Source organism: Homo sapiens, chromosome 16 (genome assembly GCF_000001405.40).
Source record: "Homo sapiens chromosome 16, GRCh38.p14 Primary Assembly".
Lineage (NCBI taxonomy): Eukaryota > Metazoa > Chordata > Mammalia > Primates > Hominidae > Homo > Homo sapiens.
Window position 1 is genome coordinate 64,943,417 of NC_000016.10, and position 22,290 is coordinate 64,965,706.

The window sequence follows — 22,290 nt, forward strand, 5'->3', positions numbered from 1 at the left end:
CAATTAGAAAAATGCTGTCACTCCTAAGGCTTCAGCTCACATTTGATGACTCTTACACTCCATGTCCAGGCCCTACTTCTACAATGAGCGAACTGAAAATCCATACTTCTGATGACTTACTTGAAAGTCCATCCAGTTGTCACACAAACACCTCCCATTTACAATCCCAACCCAAACTCAATTCAATTTATTTTCCCCAAACCCACTTCCTTTCAATTTACCAATCCTAGGTACTAAGATCACAGTTGACACAATTTTTCAGATAAGGATGCTTAAAATCACACTGGCAACCTCTAATCACTCATCAAATCCTGATAAATCTGCCTCATCAGTATATTTGCTTTCATTCAATAGATATTTATTGTGTACCTGTTATGTTTCAGGCACTGTGTAAAGAACTGAGTATACAATGGTAAACAAGAAAGCAAGATTCCCTGCCCTCATGGAGCTTACATTCTAGTGGGGCAGTCAGTCCCACCCACCCACACACATACATAAAGCCAAAAAGCAAAATAAGTTTAAAGAGTTGTCATCGATACAAAATAACAAGGGTGACCTGCTTTCCATGGAAAAGGAACGTGTTTTTTTTTGTATCAGGAACCGAAAGATGGCCAGTGTGGCTGGAGCATCGTGCACTGAAAGGAGGATGGAGTGGAATGACACTGGAGAGGTTCGCAGGGCCCTGTTCATGTAAAGCAATAAAATAAAGGCATCAGAATTCATTTTAAGTCTTTGGGAAGCCAGTGAAGAGGTTTAAGTTACGAAGTCATGTGATCTGGGTTGTGTGTTAAAAGTATCCCTCTGGCTTCTTTGTGAAGAGGAGGTTGGGAGGCAGAGGGTGAGCCAAGAGGTGGGGTCAGTCTTCCGGGTCAGAGATGACCATGGCCCAGACCAGGCTGATGGCAGTGCAAGAGCAGAGAAGTCTTTCCTCTTCTCCATCTCCAAATTACTGAATTATTTCAGGCCCTCATTCTATCTCATATTGACCTTTGCAAAAGCCCTCCTGGGGCACACCTCTGGGTTTATATGCTCCTAATCTGTCCTCCACACTGCCTGCCAAATAAATTTTGCCCCTCTTCTGCTCAGAGACTCCAACTGCCCAGCCCCCATTCACCCCCATTGTCTTATAAAGTTTCTCAAAAAGATGTGAAGGATATGTCACAATGACCCAGGAGCAGTTTCAAATACTCCTGACCTGGTTCCACCTGACATACAGAGCCATGATCTCTATATTTTTAAGCAATTCTCCAAGAGGTGCAAATAAACTACTCTTTTATCTTCCCTGTCACCCCCAGAAACCCAGGCCTAAAAGAAATAACTTAGCTAAACCCAAGATCTGTCCAGAATTGCCACAGCTGGCCTAATTTCCGCTCACACTCTATATCTCACCATCTCCTTCCTGTTATATCTTTTATGTTCTTCCTTCAATTTGGAAGGAGAGAAAATATCTTCTTGCATTTTCTAGGAGGGCAAATAGGTAAATAGGTGATTATAAGACAACAAGGTGGATACTTTGGTACAGGGCTGAATTATCAAAAGATGTCAGAAAAGGTAGTAAGATTCATTCTGAATCCTCCAGTAAGTGGAACAGGGTTTATAAAATAAGATTTTGATGAATTAATGAATGAATCAATGAATGAATGATGACTAGAAACAATAACCATTACTTGAGGAAAAGAACAGAAGCATGTTCCTTCTTTTAGCTGCATAGATGGTATAAAACAGTGATTACTTTAGAATAAGGAAGGACCGTTTAAATTAAGACTTCTTTTAAGGCAATGTGCTCCAAATGAAAAAGGACTCCACTAGTTGGGAAAGACATTTTATTTCCAAGTTTCTAAGAGTGTTCTACAAACAATAGAGGCTTAACGAAAAAATAAAAGGTAAAAAAAAAAAAAAAAAAGAAAAAGAAAAACAAGTATTCTTAACTACTGAAAAGTAAACAGCCTTTTTAAAAAAGACTTCAACATAAAAATGCGAAAATGTAGTTGTCATCTCTAATCCAAATACATTCCTAGAGAAAAGGATCATCCATGGTGACAGGGTTACTTACAGCTGTATACTTATTTAAATGCTATTCATATTCCTTTTGAGTTATTTCTTCATTGCAAATTCAATTGGAGATCTGTGCAAATCTAGCAAAATATTCTTTGGATTACAAAAACTATATAAAAAAATGAACACAACCTGCAATTATGGAAGTATTGAGAATGTGTAATCCTTCACTGAGATGAAAGATTCTAAAGTGACATTGTCCACAAAATGTATTCCATTGAAGTGTTCAGCCCAATTTGATTTCAATGCAAAGTAAAATGGAAGTGAGCACTTCATAAAAAACATTTCTTTGTATGCATGTTGACTAAATCATAAAAATAGTACATAACATGATATCAAGAAATGCTTGAAACAAACTTTCACAATAAAGTCAGAAAAAAACTGTAAAAATTGTCTGCAATCCAAGAAAAAGCACGTGCCCTGTGTGTAGGGGGAAAGAGGGAAAGCACTTGCAGTGTGACTTTATGTGGTCTTTCCCCAAGTATTGCTACGTTTTGACCTTTGGCCCAACTGAACAGGTGAAATGCCCTTCACATAAGTTTCAATCCCCAAGAAACTAGCTGGAATGCAGGGGACTGTAGACACACTCCTGGACCAAATGGCATCGACTCTCAGAATCCAAAATGGTCCCTGCCCTCATTCTGAGCTTACGGCCCCAAGCATATTCTAAACAAAGCTTTTTTAAATGAATCGCCCATTCTCATTAAAACATAAAATGCCACATCATTTTACAATTAGTTAAAATTACAGGAGGAAAAATAAGCAGTTTCAACTATCAAGAGTCTTACAATAGCCTGGTAAGTTCAACAGAAGAAAAAATAGAATAACATTAGAGTCTGGGCAAATTTATATTTTTGACTCTAGTCCCCCAGTTCCCCAGTGCTCAGTGTGGGGCATAGAATGTATACCTGGAACATTAGAGTTCTGATAGCTCCATTCCCTCATGGATTCATCTCTCATAACCATCAAATTACTGATATACAAGATAAATGCATACTATATAACACATATTGCAAAGTCATAGACTGACCTAGTTCTTTCACATCCTTCTTTTTTAGAAGATGTGTGTGAAGAGAAGCCAGGAGGTTAACACCAAGAATGTACAAAAAAGCTTTACATGATGTTACAGAATCTTGTCTGAAAAAACATTTGTAAAACATATTTGATTTTAAATAAACAATAAAAGCAGCAGACAGACAACAACAGATCATAAATAGGGTTATTAAAAGATCACAATTAAATTAGAAATATAAATGGATCATTAGAAATACTTAACGTTTGTTTCAATGTTAAGAATCAAACCCAGAATTAAAAAAAAATCTTTTTTTATTTCAAAGATTGCTTCTTATATTGAAGCTCATATTAAAGCAACAGTACAATGTTCATAAAATATAAGTGTGATGCCGTAACATTTTCTTACATGTCAGAATACTGATATTTATACGTATACTAAAATAAGAACTTTAAAATTGTACAAATAGATACATTAAAAATGACATAGAAATAGGGCGTCTCTCACTGAAACAAGACAGTTATATCTGGCACGTATTAGTTTAAGATGAAAGTAGAAGCAAAAAGATTTACAAGAATCAGCAGTAACAAGATTGATGCTCAAGAGACATAATTGTACATTGTATTGTACATACATTGTATGGGTTTAAGCTGGCTGAATATTATATATTTCAAGTTTAAAAATGCACTACATATAGAGTGTCCAGAGTTTAAGGCGAAATTACAGCTCAGAACTGTTGTCCTTTCTAATTTTGTGGAAGCTTCTTTGACAACTTAAAAAAGAAGAAAGACTTGGATGTTCATAACACATAAACAATTTCCCTTCATTGTCAGTTCAGCGTTAGACTTCTCCTTCACTTAAATATTTTGTATGCCAAGTGTTTTTTTTTTCTAGCGAAGTTGATAAACAACTTCAATATTTGCCTTTTTGTGAGAAAAGGTATTTCACAGTATTTACCACTTTGATGTCCTCGCAGTTTTATTAAATGTATCCTCTCTGTAAAACTTTGCCTGTTTTAAATGAGCCTTTCCTTGATTTAAAAAAATACCTGTTTACACATCTTCTAGATTCTTGAGAACGCCAGACACAGTTCTTAAGGCCAAATTTGTATCGTTATTGTTAAGAATCGTCATCAAAAGTGTCTTTGGAACCATACAAATCTGCTAGTTTCTTAAAACGAGGTCCCCAGTTCTGTAGATAATCATAGTCCAAGTCTGAATCTGTGGTGGCCGACTCTAGGGAGCTCAGGGACCCGGCCACTGAGCCCCTGCCTTCATAACCGTAGATTTGAATGGAGTCATAAGGAGGAGCCGTGGGGTCATTGTCTGCCTCCTGTATTCTCGTGTTGATGAAGTCATCGACATCCACGCTGTTGGGCGCTGGCCGGAGCCCAGGTCTAGGCATGTACTGATACTCAGGTTTGATGTCTTTGCGGGGGATAAATCCATTGATACCATCAGGATTCTGGAGGGTGGCAATATCAAAGGCTTCTGTGTCTTCTTCCCCACCCCCTTCATCATCATAAGTAATGATGTTCTCACGGACATCTTCTTCCTCAAAGACAATGAGTGGTTCTTTCTTTTGCCTTCTCAGGGTCACAAACAATACTACAATGACTGGAGGGAAAGAAAAAGAAGGTAAGCATTCGTTAAGTCCAGTATTCCTGGGTTCTTCTGCCAGAGGAACTCTGATTACCATAAACCATGAGGTATAAATGCTCAGAACAGGAAACAGTATAGGAAATGAGAGCTTTGCCTGGAATCCCTAAGGATGTGTAAAATTGACCCCTGCCTGGCTCTTCCTCTACAAATGCTGCCATGAAAACATTACACCCAACAACTTGGCAGGTTGGGACAATTTTGAACTTTTAACAAATGAATCCAGACACCATTTAGGAGTCATCTTCCTAAGAACTAGGAAGATTCTAAATATGTTGGTCTGTAGTCTCTTAGAAGTGGCTAATGCCAATTTCTCTTTGCAAAGGAAGGTAGCTGTTTTTCCAAGGTTTAAAAATGAGGACATGCAGAGCCCTTAGGGCCTACCATCTTATAGGGGGTGATGGCTAGCTTCTGCCAATGTCTGAGAAAGAGTATTGGTCCTATACTAACTTAATGGGAAGTCTTACCGTAAGTGTGGTTGGACTCTCTGTAGCCACCACATAGAGGAAAGGAAGTTTTATAAAGACCCCCAGAAGACAAAATCTTCTGTTTACTTTAACATAGGAAAATAGCATCAGCTGGAAGCCCAGATAAAGCAATCTCATGTCTTCCCTGGGAGAGGGGGGTTCCATTAAGCTTGGGCAACCTAGGAGGGGTGATCAGAGTCATTTATAAGGAAAGTTCAGGCACAGTTTAATTCTTCATTGATTCCCTCTTTTCCCCAAGAGGCTTCTACAATATTCCATTAGAAGGCTCTCCCATACACCCAGCAAGGCTGAAGAAAATGTTTGTGGCTGAATCTTGCACTCCAGCTGAGCGCCCCTCTGGCTCCACTACTGCTCTGAGAAGAAGGAATGAGAGATTGTACTTGCCCTGGACTTCGTGTGGCTCCCAAAGCTCTGTGCTTTTTTCTTGTGGGCACTTTCACTCACACAGACCACTCCTTTTCACTTTCTCTGCTTAGCGGACTCTTTTTTTCTTTCATCATGGATACACTTCCTGGCCTGCCATCCTGACACCAGACAGGACTACTGGCACCTTTTTCATGCACCAGCCTGGCCCCGTTCTTATCCTTATTATAATATTTATCACATGGTTTACACATCTGTTTCCACTTCTATTAACTTTTTAGGGCTTTTGTATTTTACTTCCTCTGTTTGAAATATTCATTTATCCAAGCCTCTGTCCTCAGCTGGACAACTCTCAGCAGCCAACCTGTATGTCACATCCTCCAGGAAGATTTCTTTGACCTTCCCAGGCAATGTTAGGTGCCTTTTTTTTTTCTTTTTTTTTTTTTTTTTTGAGACAGAGTTTTGCTCTTGTTGCCCAGGCTGAAGTGCAACGGCGCCATCTTGGCTCACCGCAACCTTTGCCTCCTGGGTTCAAGCGATTCTCCTGCCTCAGCCTCCCAAGTAGCTGGGATTACAGGCATGCACCAACACACCTGAATAATTTTGTATTTTTAGTAGAGACGGGGTTTCTCCATGTTGTTCAGGCTGGTCTTGAACTCCCAACTTCAGGTGATCAGCCTGCCTCCGCCTCCCAAAGTGCTGGGATTACAGGCGTGAGCTACTGCGCCTGGCCCATGTCAGGTGCTTTCTACTCTGTCCTCCAACCATCTTGTGTTCATGTCCCTATTACAGCACCCACCGTGTGCCTCTTCATGCATACTTTCCTTGACATTCTGTGAACCTGTCGAGCACAGAGATCTCATAGACTTCTTCTCTTTATCCCCCAGGACCTAACATAGGGCCCGTTGCCCAGAGAATACCCAGTAACTATTTGCTGAATTGAATTCACTGGCTTTTTCCTATGGAGTAAAGCTCCATGAATTCATTCGAGGTAGGACCAAGCATCATGGCAAAAGTGTAGGTTTGGTGTCAGACATGCATAGGTTTGAATCCTGATTTGGTCAGTCACTAGTTCTGAGACTTTGGGATAAAATGATCTTCCTGAGGCCCAGCAATGGCATATGTTCTGAGTACCAGCACATGGCTTTTCTACAGAATAAACCACAGGTAAGACAGAAGTGCAGAAGAAGAGCACCTAAGCAGGGGTAGGTGCAGGAAAAGCTTCCAAGGGGTACCCATGAGCTGAGGTGTTAGAACAGATGTTATATATGATAATTAGTGGAGGGGTTAGAGTCCTGCTTCTTCCTTCTTCCAGTTCCCGAGTCCTTCCTATGCTGTGTTTTGCTCCTTCTTATGGGCCTAATGTCCCTAAGCCTTATTCTTTCTCTTGTGGGACAAAACCATTGCTAATACACCATGTTTCTGCCCAAATTCCTCTTATGCCAAACCTTCTCTGATGTCCCTGAAGCCCCCTAGTGGCTCCTGCTATACAGCCCTGTGATGGCCCGGCAAAATGCTCATCATGACCTTCCCTGTTCTCTGCTGGAACTCAGTTGTCTGCTCCCTGCAATATTCCATCAAATGCAAGAGGCAGACATCCCCCACCTCGCCCCCACAACGCCCACCCCGCCCCCGTACCCCACTTCTTTTCTTGAACTGTGTCGACAGTCATAACAGGGTCCTGGTTACCAGCCTGTATTTGAGAAGCATGTGTTTCAAGGAGGGGCATCCGGTTGCCTGGCCCTTCCTGCAGGGGACCAGGAAGCGCCCTTACCCAGGAGAATGACGATGCAGGCGAGGATGGCGATCAGGGCGCCTGTGCTCAGGCCGGCGTTCAGAATGTAGGCCTCTGCGTTGCAGGAGAGCAGTGCCCCGTTCACGTCGCACCCGCAGACTTTGATGGTGAGGGTGTTGGTGCTACTCATGGGCGGGATGCCGCCATCGCTGATCACTATGGGCAGAAGGTACAAGTCCTGCTTCTGCCGACTGAACCCTCCACGCCGGGCGTACACGCCTGCTGTGTTATCTGCAGAAAGAGGGGAGACAGGCCGTGCGCCCAGTCAAGACCATTGGAATCACAGCGGCTCTCTGCTCGGCAGATTTGAGGGCACTCTCTTATCATAAAGGTTAACCGCCAGAATCGTTCTTACTTGTTCTTTCATCTAAGTATCTGCGGAAGCCACAGCCGTTTGGCATGATCACGAAACAAGCTATCTGCATTTTGGAATAAATCTCAGAAACAGGCTCTTTGGATTTGGTAGGGAATTTCCATTGAAGAATGGGCAAGAGCAAAGCAGAAAATGATGTGGCCGGCTTGCCAGTGAAGGGATTTCCCCCAACACCCTCAGCCACCCGGTTAAACATGTCATTCCTCCTGCTTAGAATGATTTGAAGTTTGTTGCTCACATGACCCAGCGCACTTCTGCCTGCATAGTGGACGATCAGATATTATTTCCCTAACCTAGACTTCACTTTGCTTTCCAGGCTCACACCCTACGTTTTCTCACCGAAAATGGTGCGGCAGGCTTGCCACTGAAGGAAATTCCCTTTAAAGGCAAGCCTGTCACACCATTTTCTGCTGGGCTATTAGCTTCAGCAATCTACTCTATGTTAGCACACGAAATATTAATAATTAAATATTCAAGTGTGTGTGAGAAAAAGTTTTTTCCTATGTGCAGACTTCCTACTTTATGACAAGGGTTTAGCCAATTTTTGTTTGTATATATTTTTAAAAAAGAAATTCCAAGTCCACCTTCAAACCTTATGCAAACTATGAATCCACTCATTAGTCATGTAAATATACATGCTTTAAAGAGAGGAACTATTTTATAACCCTTGCAGGAGATTTATGGTTTCTTTAAAACCCCAACACCATCAGCCACCCAATTAAACATGTCACTCCTCCTGCTTAGAATGATTTGAAGTTTGTTGCTCACATAACAAAACACAGCGCACCTCTGCCAGCATGGTGGAGGATCAGATATTATTTCCCTAACCTAGATTTCACCTTGCTTCCCAGGCTCACCTCCTACTTTTTCCACATGGACCAGTTCAGCCTGACATCAAGAATTCAGTTCTGTCCCCCAAGAATGCCACACTCTTCTGTGTGCCTGGTCTTTTTATCCACTACTGTCTTGCTCAAAATAACTGTTCCTTTTATCATAACAGTTGTACTTCTCAGGCCTCAAAATATAATTCAAAAGTCATCTCTTCAGGGAGACCATCCAAGACCTCTCCCATCATCTCTTGTGTGACCCACCACACTGTATATTTGTATAGAAATACATAACCTACTCTTCTGTCATGATTTGTTGACATAACCACTTTGACCTCTGTGGGACTGTGAACTTCTTGAGAATAGGGGATTTTTGTCTGATTCATCTCAGTCTCTCCAAGGCCAGAAACACAGCAGACATTCAATAAATATTTGTTGAACAAATGGCATAACTGTGTTCTGGGAAGGATTTAACCAAAATTCCAGATGTTGGCTTTTCTGTATTTCCCAATCTTTTGTAGCCTCTGCCCCCAAAATATTTCCTCATCATGTTTTCTCTACCAGCCTCAACTAATTTTCTAAGATTTATTTTCTAGTGGGAAAGCATTGGTATTATAAAACAGTAGAAATTTTTAATATGTTCCATCAAATTACACATACATGCATACACACATACACACACACATACACACACACACTCACACTGAACTTCTGGTATGGTCTGCCTCTGTTTGTGGGTTAAGAATCAGAGTTTATAGCAATATGAATATTATGACTAGCATCATGGCCCAATAGCTGGTAGGCTTTAAATAGGTTGACAGGATTTTGAATTAGCTCCTGTAGTAGGGAAAAAAAATCTCAGAATTTCAAAATTATTTAATATATTTTAGGTTAAAGAAAATGTATAATCTTCCCTTGGTATCTGCCGGGAATTGGTTATAGGACCCTCCCCTGAATACCAAAATCCAAGGATGTTCAAAGTCCTTATATACAATGGCACAGTCTTTGCATATAACCTACACACATTCTCCCATATGTGTTAAATGATCTCTAAATTACTTATAATACCCAATACCATGTAACAGCCATGTAAATAGTTATGATACTGTAGTTTCAAATTTTGTATTATTTTGCATTGTTGTATTACAATTTTTTGTTGTTTTCTGTTTTTCTCCCCAAATATATTTGATGTTTGGTTGGCTGAATTCACAAATGTGGAACCCATGAATATGGAAGGCCTACTACAATTTATTTTCCGTTAGATATCTATATCTATATATAGATATATATATATGTATGTATATACACACACATATATATATATATGGCAGATTCAGTCTTATTTAGGGATGGGCAGAAATTCTGAATATTGCAGATGGTGAGGTTTTGTACTTTCTGGCTCTAGTAGACCTGATATGACCAATTCTCTGTCCTTCACTGCCAACATTTCATCCAAAACAACACAGAACAGCCAGCCCTCAATTCTGTATTTTCTGAATTTTGTATGATTGGCATACATTTCTCTTATCACTGGGGAAAATTATAAAAACATTGCATATACTATGAAATAGGATGAAAAAAATAAAAGTAAGCTAGTCAAGTAAAATAGTAACTGAAAATGCAGTCACCTGACTAGGCTTTACACACCATTGTTCCATACTTAGCAATTACAATAAAAATTACATATCTATAATAAATTAATTCAAAATATATTTTCTCTTCTTGTATATGTTTTCATAGTTAAATTAGACTCTCACAAATTGAAAGTTACAATATCTACTCCATTTTAATGATCTGAAATGTCCATGTCATCATGGATAAAAATGAATGTTAAAAATTTAATTGAATTTCTAGGTCAAAGAAAACTCTTTGATATGGGTGACATGCCCAGCAGATGACTTGCTTGGTTTACACATTTGGTCCTACTCTGTTACCCATAGTGTTATGGCTGGAGGGTATGGGAACAGAATATTTTTATTTTTATAAACTTGTGGAAGTCATAATTTAAAATCTATTCTTCAATGTGCCATCCAGGCAGACCTGCACTTCCAGATCACAGCAGGTTGGGTTATGGAGGAAGGTAATTGAAACTCAAACACCAATGGAAAACATGGATCTGGGCATGACATTGGCACATGAATTCAAGATGTTTCATATTCTGAACAAGTGAGTCCTCTCCGACACACAGAAACCACTACGTAAAAGCTCATCAAAGCACCCAGCTGACCAAACCATTTAAAATCTCTGAGTGATAGATCAGTAGGATCGCAAGAACTTTTCAAACCTCTGCTATTAAAACATGCTTCACATATAGATTTTAAGCAGTTCAAGAAGTGGGAAAGAAATGGACTAAGGCTTTCTTCCTGGGTGAATACTAATTATCTGCTTTCAATTGGGTAACTTTTCCCATCTAGAGCCCCATTTGTTCATCTTTAAAATTAGGAGACTGATTGATAGCAAGCATGCCTCATGGGGTTGTTAAGCAACTAAATAACATGATAGAAATCAGTGTTTATCCTCTGTGCTGTGCTTCCAGAAGGCTCAGGGGATCCTTCTACCAGAAAACTTAACACACATTACTGAGATCCTCCAGGGCTGGTGAGCTGGTAAAGGTGAACACAGTGGGTAGGAGACGTGTCTAGCAGCCTGGTTTGGCATTTAGGTGGTCTGTGTTGCTTGAGTCAATAAAATATTCGCCCTTTAGATCCAGGTTGTTCCAGGACCAATGGGAGTGCGAGCCTTCTCTCAGAAGTGGCATTTCTGAGTGGCATTTCAGTATCACGGCCTGTCCTTCTTGTGATCCACTCTGATCACTGATCAAAAATAAGTCACTATGGCCTGGCATGGTGGCTCATGCCTGTAATCCCAGCACTTGGGAGAACCAGGTGGGCAGATGACTTGAGGCCAGGAGTTCAAGACCAGCCTGGCCAAAATAGTAAAACCCTCTCTCTACTAAAAAATAAAAAAAAAAAAAAAAGGCCAGGCACAGTGGCTTACGCCTGTAATCCCAGCACTTTGGGAGGCCGAGGCAGGCGGATCACGAGGTCAGGAGATCAAGACCATACTGGCTAATGCGGTGAAACACCGTCTCTACTAAAAATACAAAAAATTAGCTGGGCTTGGTGGTGGGTGCCTGTAATCCCAGCTACTCGGGAGGCTGAGGCAGGAGAATGGCATGAACCCGGGAGGCAGAGCTTGCAGTGAGCCGAGATCACGCTACTGTACTCCAGCCTGGGTGACAGAGCAAGACTCTGTCTCAAAAAAACAAAAATAAAAACAACAACAACAAAAAGAAACAAAACAAATTAGCTGGGTGTGGTGGCGCATGCCTATAATTCCAGTTATTCAGGAGGCTGAGACAAAAGAACCTGGGAGGTGGAAGTTGCAGTGAGCCGAGATTGTGCCACTGCACTCCAACCTGGGAGACAGAATGAGACTCTGAATCAAAAAGAAAAAAAAAATCCACTAGGGGTTGGTATGGTGGTTCACACCTGTAATCTCGACACTTTGGGAGGCTGAGGTGGGAGAATTGTTTAAAGCCAGGAGTTCTAGACCAGCCTGGGCAACATAGCGAGACCTTGTCTCTAAAAAAATAAAAAGTTAAACAATTATCCAGGTGGGGTGACCAGCAACTATAGTCCCATCTCCTTAGGAGACTGACACCAGAGGATTGCTTGAGCCCAGGAGTTCAAGGCTACAGTGAGCTATAATAGTACCACTGCACTACACCATGGCTGACAGAATGAGACCCTGTCTCTAAAAAGAAGGAAAAAAAATAGCTACTATGGTCAGGAACTTCATGAAAAACAAATCTGGACACACAAATAGAAATATAAACAAACTAAAAACAATAACGAAACCCCTTTACTAGACACCAATTTTTCACCCTATATTTGACTACATATTAGCTTTCAATCCATCTTTGAGTGGGTCCCCTTGCATTGGACATATGCATTACCAAGGTTTATGGATAACCCAAGAAAAAAAGAGGTTCAGTGAGGACATATTTCCAGGAAAGTGTCAGATTGGCTCCAGGTTACTAAGATGAAACAGAAAAGACAAATATTCCATCAATTTTAAAATTTCCATAGAGACTTCCTAGATCTTTTTCTTATATAAAGATTCTAAGAAGCAAAAAACTCAATCTTTGGGGTCAAACAGACCTGGGTTTGAATCTTGAATCTTGTACATATTAATTGCCTGACTTTAAACATATTATCTAGGTGTCTTGATTTTCCATATTGTCATCTGTGAAACTAATAATTTTAGGTTAAATTTGATTCCATTCATAAAGCTACTTAGCACAGTTGCCAGCCTGTTGGCGATGCTCAGTAAATATTAATTCTTTTCTGGAAGTTCTTCTCTTTGAGCAGTAGACTAATGAGGAAGAGAAACTCATTGGCAAAGGAGGAAAGTGAATTCTTGGAAATGTCATTGTAGCTCTGAATGTAATTGCCTATGCAGAAGGACTCTTCATTCAAAGGTAAGAAAATATTTCATATTCTTCAGTCCTGGACAATATATTTCCCATGACAAGAAAATGTTTTTCAAGCATCTTGGTTTTTGATCTTGACACCAGTGTTCTCATCCTTGGCCACAGATATGTAACCAGTTGCATGTTTTCCCCCACTTAGGCCAAAACTTGCAAATAGGGCCATTAATTACCAGAATATGTCATGCACAAAGTGTAGTGTTTCTATTAATGGAAAAACAAATTCAGGCTTCTAAGTTTTAGTCCAACCTGGACTCCTAATTGCATGCTGCTTTTACTTGTACACTTTTTCATTATACTAATACAATATAAAAGTTCCTAATAATGATGATCTCCATGGTACCAGTTGGGGAATACCAATATAGGGGTTAGATGATGATGTAGCCCAATGAGGAAATATATGAGACTGGCAATCAAGGGGAACATTAAGATGGAGAGAGAAAGAAGACCTTGATAGATAGACTGCACTTGGTGACAACCCTGCATTAGCCAAAAAAATAAAAATAAAAAAGGAAAAAATTAAAAGCAGATCAAAGTGGGCAATATATGGACCAGCTCCTGCATATTGAAAACTTGAAAACAGGAAGCACCAAAGCAAAGGACCAGGACCCTCTGCCCTCATCATGGTGTCAGGAGAGAGGCTTATCCCAGGGCAACGGCATCAGTCACTCAGCAGCTTCCCTAAGGCTCTGCAGATGCTCTTCCTTACCAATCCTTTTCCTCTGTCCATCTCTTCTCTGAAGCTAAACAATCCTCACAGCTTGACCTGATCAGAGACATTCTATCTTATGAAAAAGGCCACAGGGCACTTCAGTCTGAGGATCCTCTCTGCAGACTGTTGGAAAACCGAGAATGTAGGCCAAGACTTGCTCCCAGGGAGGTATTTTGTTCACTGCTGACCCAAATCTGCCTACTCTACGTTTCTTCCCAAACCTCAGAGAGGAAGTAGATCTATCTACCACATGAAAAGCTCCCACACACTTGAAGACAGGTATTCAGTCACTAGCAGAATAAACATTATTTGATTACTTTGCTCTGGCCTACACTGCTTTCCTTAGAAATGTGGCAATAGCTCTGCCAAGATAATGGAAAAAATATTTCTGTGCCCACACATGCCCGTGCACACACACACACACACACACACACACACACACCCATCCATATATATATATATACATATATATACGCATAAATAAGCACATACATAAAATTTATATATAGTGTGTGACTAAAATTTCTTAGTAGAGTTATAAGCTTCAATAATTTCAGAAGTATAGATGACACACAACTACAAAAGGCATCATTTGAGCATTTAGTTATTTCGATTTCTTTACACTCATTTACATTTGTGAATTTTGAAAAATTAATTTTAAGTTTTGATGTCAGTCAATGTTTACCATCTTCAATCCAAGGGACTGAAATAATGGAAATTTCATAGAACATTTTTAGAAGTTTGTGACAATACACTCCTGATGTTACTACTGATCAATGATGAACTTACTAGTCTGTGTGTACACCTCTATTTTCTTGCCTTTCTGAATACCCTGTGAGCTCTCTACCTACCTGTACACATTACTGCATAGTTTGTACATTTCACAGCCCATCGTGACTGAATGTCTGACCTCTTCACCAGACAATAACCTCCTTGAGGGAAGGGGCCTTGTCTTATTTAGCTTTTCAGTCGTCTTTGTGCATTTAGGCATTTAGCACTGTTGTGTGTGTTGACAGAATAAATGGCTGAATGCTGTGCTTTCCAATGAATCTCATATCAGTCTGACTTTTCCACACAGTCAGAGTTTACTGATTCATTATCTCATGGTCCATTTCTAGTTTCCATATTCTCCAACTCCTTCTAATGTTGCTTATATTTATATTGCAGATTTTGCTTTTGCTAAATATCTTCATCTTGCTATCTTATTATTCTGTTATTATTATTTAAATTGAAGCAAATTTAACTAAGCAACATTGATTGAACTGCTAATATGGGCAAACGCTGTTGTTTGTTACTTTTACATACATTATCCCAGACAATTTTTCAAACTGTGCAAAGATTATAATATCCCATATCTTATAAGAAACAAAACTGAGAAACTAAGAGGGAAGCAATTTCTCACAAGCACATGGAAAATAACAGAACTAGAATTTGAAGTCCTCTAGGTTTCATTGAATTTTATAAGCACATAACTGACCCTGGAACACTGACATTATTGCATTCTAATTAAACTAGTTTATTTTAATATCCACAATAGGTTGGTTAATTAGTTGAATTCCATCATAGCCTATAATTAGACAAAAAAAAGAAAAACTCAGTTTCTAGACTCAGTTTCTAGATAAAAGAACAGTTCTTAGAAACCTAAGATTTTTTGTGGCAAAGAGACCCACAAACAATCAGGGGTACTCATTCAACAGCTGTTCCCATAGCATTTCCAGACACAGACATACACACGCAAACATACACCCTTCACAAACAAACCAATGTGAAGGAGGCAAGAAGAAACCTATTACTTTCCCAATATTTTGGAATAAAAGATATGCTACAATGATGCAAATTCTATAAATGATGAGCCTTAACGTACTAATGAAAATAATTTACCAAGACTCTGATGGCTATAATGTCTCCTAACTGAATTAGGGAGCTACACACCACTGTTCTTCCAATTATTGCCTTTTGTACTGAGGAATCTGCAAAACAAGAAGTACAATAAAGAGTAACATGATAGAAATACTTGCCTGTGTGCATGTGAAATTCAAGCATGTGTGTATGAGATATCGAAGTATGCAGTTTGTTAGCATTAAGAGACTTTTCATTGTCACATTTAATCACATTTCTTAAAATCAACTCTGCTTTCACTTATGTTTGATAGTAATTTTCTCCTTGTTGGTAGGGTAAATGGAGAGAAAAGAACATACTGCCCACGTACTTCTTAGTTTAAGACAAAGAAAACTACCAAGAGATTCAGGGGGATATTGACATTTAGGGTCTTTAAGCTAACTAGTTAAGTCAGTGACCACGTGCAACCTTGAAAGAGTGATGTCTGATCTACCAAGAAGATCTATTTATTTTTTTGTTGTTGTTGGATTGAGGAGAGAGCGGGTTCAAAGATAAACTCTGTTCTGTGTGAGACAAACTGCAGCAATGAATTTTAGGCAGAAAAGAAACATGATTATTTACACAAGTGAAAATGGCAGGGCATTAAAAGACATCTGCCATTTTGATCTCCCAACAGAGCATCTTCCATATTGGAGCAATTAAGGGCGAAAAATACATCCTACAGAAATCTGTTTGGCTATCTTTAAATTATGAAAGTGAAAAATCAGAAGCATATTTGCATGCTAGTTTGTGCTGCTCATAAAAAATGTCCTTAGTTCGGGGGGAAAACAGAAAGAAAGGCATTTATTTGCCAATTGATTTAATCTGAGTGAATCTGTCTTGGCTATCCTTACTAAACCAACATTGCTTTCCACGCAAACATTTTGTTGTTTATTTATGTCTTTGCTTGCCTGCTTTCTTATTTTTATTTTTGTTTAAGCAGTGCAAACTCAACTCTGAATGTTTCAGTGCTCATTGATCTGCCACATGGCACAACTTGGATATTACATTTGCAAAACTAATACATTAGAGGGTCATCTCATTCTTCCCCCTAACCCTAGGTCTCCAATATAATTTTGTGGAAAAGTAAATGACTGAATGGATGAAAGAATGCAAGGGCTGGGTGATGGGGTACTGACTTCTTTAGAATATTCTGGCATCAAATGATTTGTTCTCTTTTTCATCCTGGAGCTTATTTCATGACAGATTCATTCTTTCCATAATAATAACTAATTCTTAAAATTTTTGAAGAAGATTATATGTTATGAAGTGTTTTCTCAACCACTCCTTCACTTTTAATTTATGCATTTAGTCAACCCACTTTTCTTAAGTGTTGGGATACTGGCCTCACAGAGCTCAGATTCTAGTGGGAGACAAGGAAATGTGTTATACGGTTAGAATTCAGAGTGATAAGAAAAATTGAGGTTAGGGCAGTATTCCTGGAGCACTAGGACAAGGCAGCCCAAATGTTCTGAGATGTTAGGCCAGATGTCACCTGGGAGATGTCTTTATGTACAGTGAGACTTAAAGGAGGAGGGATAGACAGGGGGAGTAAATTCCCTGCACATGGACATGTGAGAGCATGGCATATTTCAGAAACTTGACATGGTTTCAAGTTTCTGAATCTTAAGATTTAAGGTAGCAAGAGAAAGGACATGGTAGAGGTAAAGTGTACAAGGAGTAAAGCATGGAATGTCTTGCTCACTAAGCTATGGAGTTTCAGTTAAATACATAGGAAATGGAGAGGCAGGAAAGAATTTAAAAAAGAGAGAGAGAGAGGCATTGTCCAGTTTGTTTATTGAGGGCTGAGTGAAGTGGGGGCAAGGATGGAGTCAGACAGACCTGTTTGTAGGTCACCATGTAGTTACAGCTTCTCTGTGGGTAACTCTATTCATGATAACTATCAAAATTAGTTGTGCTTTCACAATATAACTAATTTTGCTGGATGTGCTTTTGGGGATTCCCTGACATCAGATTTATATTCACTGTGAAAGCCTTCTTTTAGGACGCTTCCTGGCACTCATTTTTTCATCTTTTCATGATTACAGAAGGATGGAAAGAAGAGGCTATCATAGGGAATCTAAGAAATATCTAGAATTTGATGAAAGCCACACTGACACTAACTAGAGAAGAAGCATCAAGGACGGAGAAGGCCAAATCAAACAGGGAAGAGGCTTCATGGTTTACAAAAGGCTACTCTTAAAATTGATTTACTTGAAAATCTCGAGTATTTTTGTTGTCGTTATAATAGAAACTCATTGAAAACTCCTAAAATTTTCCTTGGCTGCTCAAGTGACAGAAAAACCTTCTGATAGCCATGTAACCCCATGATCTGATAAACCTTCAATTCTAATTGAGATGGCCCATTGTAAAGCTTGTAGCCCTGGGGTTCTGAGATCCCGGGATGCATTCCAATTTTGATACCAGTTTTTAGTATGTCAGTGCCTTTATCTCTCAAATTGGCAGCTCAATTCATATAGTGTAATAATTTACAACTGTTTTATAAATTATTATTAGGATTATATATCAAATATTCAGATATTAATATTAAAATTGTTCTCCCTTTAGAGATGAAGAGCAAAGCCAAGCCTTTAATCTCTAGGCCTTGCCTTTTCCTCTGTACCTTATCAAATGATTGTTGTTTGGAATAAGAGGGTTGAAAATTAAAATTATGAAGTTAATATTAGAATATTGTATTTATAATTACCAGGTCACTAGGCCAGCAGACAAAACTATATTATCTTCTTGTTAGAATCAAAAAATTGTAATAAAATTAAACATTTATTTTTTAGTAACACAACAATGTAAAGGAAGTTCTGTCTCTCTCACACACACACCCCCCAAAACACAAATCTTAATTTTAATCTAATACCCAGTATGATGTTTAATGATGAAACTCAAGAACTAATTTCCCTATTAAAGTAATAAGTAAACCAAGAATGGCCATTACTGTTGTTATGATATAGCACATATTTGAAAAGTGTAAATCTATGCAATTAGATGAAAAACAAGTATTTTAAAAGGTGAAACAAATTGCCATTAATTTTTATGTAGTTATTGCTCTAGAAAACCCAGGAAAATCAGGTAAGTTATATCACTTTGCAATGCCCAATAGTAAATAAATTAAAACAGTTATAACTTATACTAAAAATAGTGACTAAGAAAATAAAATTAGAACAGATTCAGTCCAGTCTGATACATAAGAAGCTTGGAAGTCACCTCTCCATCCAAATAAAAAAACAAACAAACTAGAATATTAACAACTTTTCCTAGATTCATAAGAGAATTGAGTTTACAGGGCAAAGAGCCGTCCCCAGATTGGAGACAGACAAGTAGATACAGAGAATCGAACTTACTAGATTAGGAACCAACAAGCAAAAACTTCCTCAGGAACCAGTGCTGGGGTAGAAAAACCTGAACTGTAATTGACAAATTGATGGAGGCCCAGTGTGGAGAAGTTAAAATCTCTAGGGGAACCCAGTCACAGGACCTCTCCCGTGACCCCCTACCACACACATGCACATACACACTTGTGTGATTTTTACCTCCAGGAACTCTACCTGGTTCTCACAGTGAATATTAGAGAAAAATTCCCTCATGCTATCAGTAGGAGGAGGGAAAAAGGAACCATTTTGAAATACGCCAGAGCATTCTGTTCTTAACAAGGCCTGATCTTAGAAAAAACTTTTAAAGGAAGCCTAATCTTCTGGGATTTTATCAGAGACTAACTGACCTGGGGAAAAGAAACTTCCAACTCTAGGCCATCCCAGGTATCCTGTCCCAGCAAAGGAGGGAGAAAAAAACAACTAAGGAGCACTTGTGAAGTTTACAGTTCAGAGGCACAAGCTTACTAAAAACTGAGGCCCAGTCATAGGACTATGGAATGCTAGCCCTTCTTTAACTTACTATCCACATTGTTAAAGGCTTATTTATAGCAGTTCCTGTTACCCACAACACCATTTCCGTTATGAAGAAAAAAATTACAAGGCATACTAAAGGCAGAACAAAAAATCCTACAATTTGAAGAGACAGAGAAAATATCAAAACCAGGCACGCATATGACAGAGATGTTGGAATTATCCAGCTGGAAATTTAGAACAACTGTGATTAATATGCTAAGGTCTTTAATGGATAAAGTGGACAACATTCAAGAACAGATGGGCAATGTAAGCAGAGAGATGGAAATTCTAAGAAAGAACCAAAAGAAACACTAGAGATAAAAAACATCAACAGAAATAGAGAATGCCTTCAAAGGGCTCCTTAGTAGACTGGACACAGCTGAGGAAAGAATCTCTGAGCTTGAGAATAGATCAGCAAAAACCTCTAAAACTATAAAGCAAAGAGACAAAAGACTGAAAAAATAATACCCCAGAATATCCAAGAACTGTGAAACTATAAAAGGTGTAATATATATGTGATGATAATACCAGAAACAGAAGAGAGAAAGAAACAGAAGAACTATTTGAAACAGTTATGACAGAATTTCTCCAAATTAATGTCAGATACCAAACCACAGATGCAGAAAGCTCAGAGAACATCAAGCTGTATCAATGCCAAAAAGGAAGTCCCTACACCTAGTCATATCATATTCAAACTACAGAAAAATCAAAGATTTTTTAAAAATGCTGAAAGAGGTCAGGAGAAAAAAACCCACCTTACCCGTAGAGGAATAAAGATAAGAATTACATCCACCTTCTCAGAAATCATGCCAGCAAAAAGAGAATAAAGTGAAATAATTAAAGTATTGAGAGAAAAAAACATACCAACCTAGAATTCTCTAACTACCAGAATTATCCTTTAAAAGTGAAGGAGAAATAGTTTTTCAGACTAGCAAAAATGGAAAAAAAAATTGTTGCCAGTAGGCCTGCCTTGTAAGAAATGTTAGAATAAGTTCTTTAGAGGGAAGAACATGGGTCAGAAATCTGGATATACAGAGAGAAAAGAAGAGCGTGGAAGAAGGAATAAGTGATGAAGAAACAGACACTTTTATTTTTCTTATATTTTAATTGACCTAACACAATAATTTGTTCACAGTAATAATTGCAACAATGTATTTGATTAGGTATGGTTATTCATATATACCGTCATGAGTTGCTTAGTGACAGGGAAGCATCCTGAGAAATGCATTGTTAGGAGATTTCCTCCTGTAAACGTAGTGTATTTAAACAAACACAGATGGTTTAGCTTATTACATCTACCCTATATGGCACAGCCTATTGCTCCTAGGCTACAATCCTATACAGTATGTTACTCTGTTGAATACTGTAGGCAATTATAACACAGGAGCAAATATTTGTGTGTTGAAACATAGAAAAAGTACAGTAAAAATATGGCATAAAAGATAAAAAATGTTATGCCTGTATAGGGTACTTAGCATGAATGGAGTGTTCAGGACAGGAAGTGGGTGAGTCACTGAGTGAGTGAATGTGAAGGCCTAGGACGTTACCTTACACTACTGTAGACTTATTTATTTATTTATTTATTTATTTATTATTTTGAGACGGAGTCTTGCTCTGTCACCCAGGCTGGAGTGCAGTGGCCCCATCTCGGCTCACTGCAAGCTCCGCCTCCCGGGTTCACGTCATTCTCCTGCCTCAGCCTCCCGAGTAGCTGGGACTACAGGCACCCGCCACCACACCCGGATAATTTTTTGTATTTTTAGTAGAGACGGGGTTTCATCATGTTAGCCAGGATGGTCTCGATTTCCTGACCTCGTGATCCACCCGCCTCGGCCTCCCAGAGTGCTGGGATTACAGGCTTGAGCCACTGCGCCCAGCCCTGTAGACTTTATAAACACTGTACATTTAGGCTACACTAAACTTATAAAAATTTATTTTTTTATTATACTTTAAGTTCTAGGGTACATGTGCACAACGTGCAGGTTTGTTACATATGTATACATGTGTCATGTTGGTGTGCTGCACCCATTAACTCATCATTTACGTTAGGCATAAATCAACCTTAATTTTTATTATTATTATTTTTTAACCTTTTAAATATTTTTGTTGGCCAGGCATGGTGGCTCACGTCTGAAATCCTAGCACTTTGGGAGGCTGAGGCAGGTGGATTACCTGAGGTCAGGAGTTCCAGACCAGCCTGGCCAACATGGTGAAACCCCATCTCTACTAAAAATACCAAAAAAAAAAAAAAAAAAAAAAAAAAATTAGCCGGGTGTGCTGGCGGGCGCCTGTAATCCCAGCTACCTGGGAGTCTGAGGCAGGAGAATTGCTAAAATACGCGAGGTGGAGGCTACAGTGAGCCGAGATTGCACCACTGCACTCCAGCCTGGGCAACAGAGCAAGACTCCATCTCGAAAAAAAACCTTTTTGCTAAAAACTAAGATGTAAACCCACACATTAGCCTGTGCCTACACAGGATCAGGATTATCAGTATCACAGTCTTCCACCTCCACATCTTGTCTCACTGTAGGGTTTTTCAGGGGTAGTAACACACATGGAGCTGTTGTCTTCTATGGTAACAATGCCTTCTTCTGGAATACCTCCCAAAGGACCTACCTGAAGCTGTTTTAAAGTGAACTTTATTTTTGATAAATAGAATGAGTACACTCTAAAATAATGTTTAAAAGTGTAGTTATGGTAAATCCTAGGTGATAGGCATTTTTCAGGTCCATTATAAT

At 39.0% G+C, this 22,290-nt stretch overlaps 1 protein-coding gene across 4 annotated transcripts in view; it reads right to left on the minus strand.

Annotated features, from left to right (window-relative positions):
- CDH11 (cadherin 11) overlaps positions 337-22,290 on the minus strand; it is a 179,992-nt gene continuing 158,038 nt past the window's right edge. For 3 of the 4 annotated variants that reach the window (XM_047433486.1, NM_001330576.2, NM_001797.4), the window contains 2 exons: positions 7,351-7,602; positions 337-4,683 (listed from right to left, as the gene is read on the minus strand). In XM_047433486.1, coding sequence (XP_047289442.1) covers positions 4,187-4,683; positions 7,351-7,602 — 749 coding nt within the window. In that variant the 3' untranslated portion in view covers positions 337-4,186. Of the gene's footprint in view, positions 4,684-5,192; positions 5,372-7,350; positions 7,603-22,290 lie in introns of all 4 variants that reach the window. The other variant, NM_001308392.2, reaches the window with a different exon arrangement.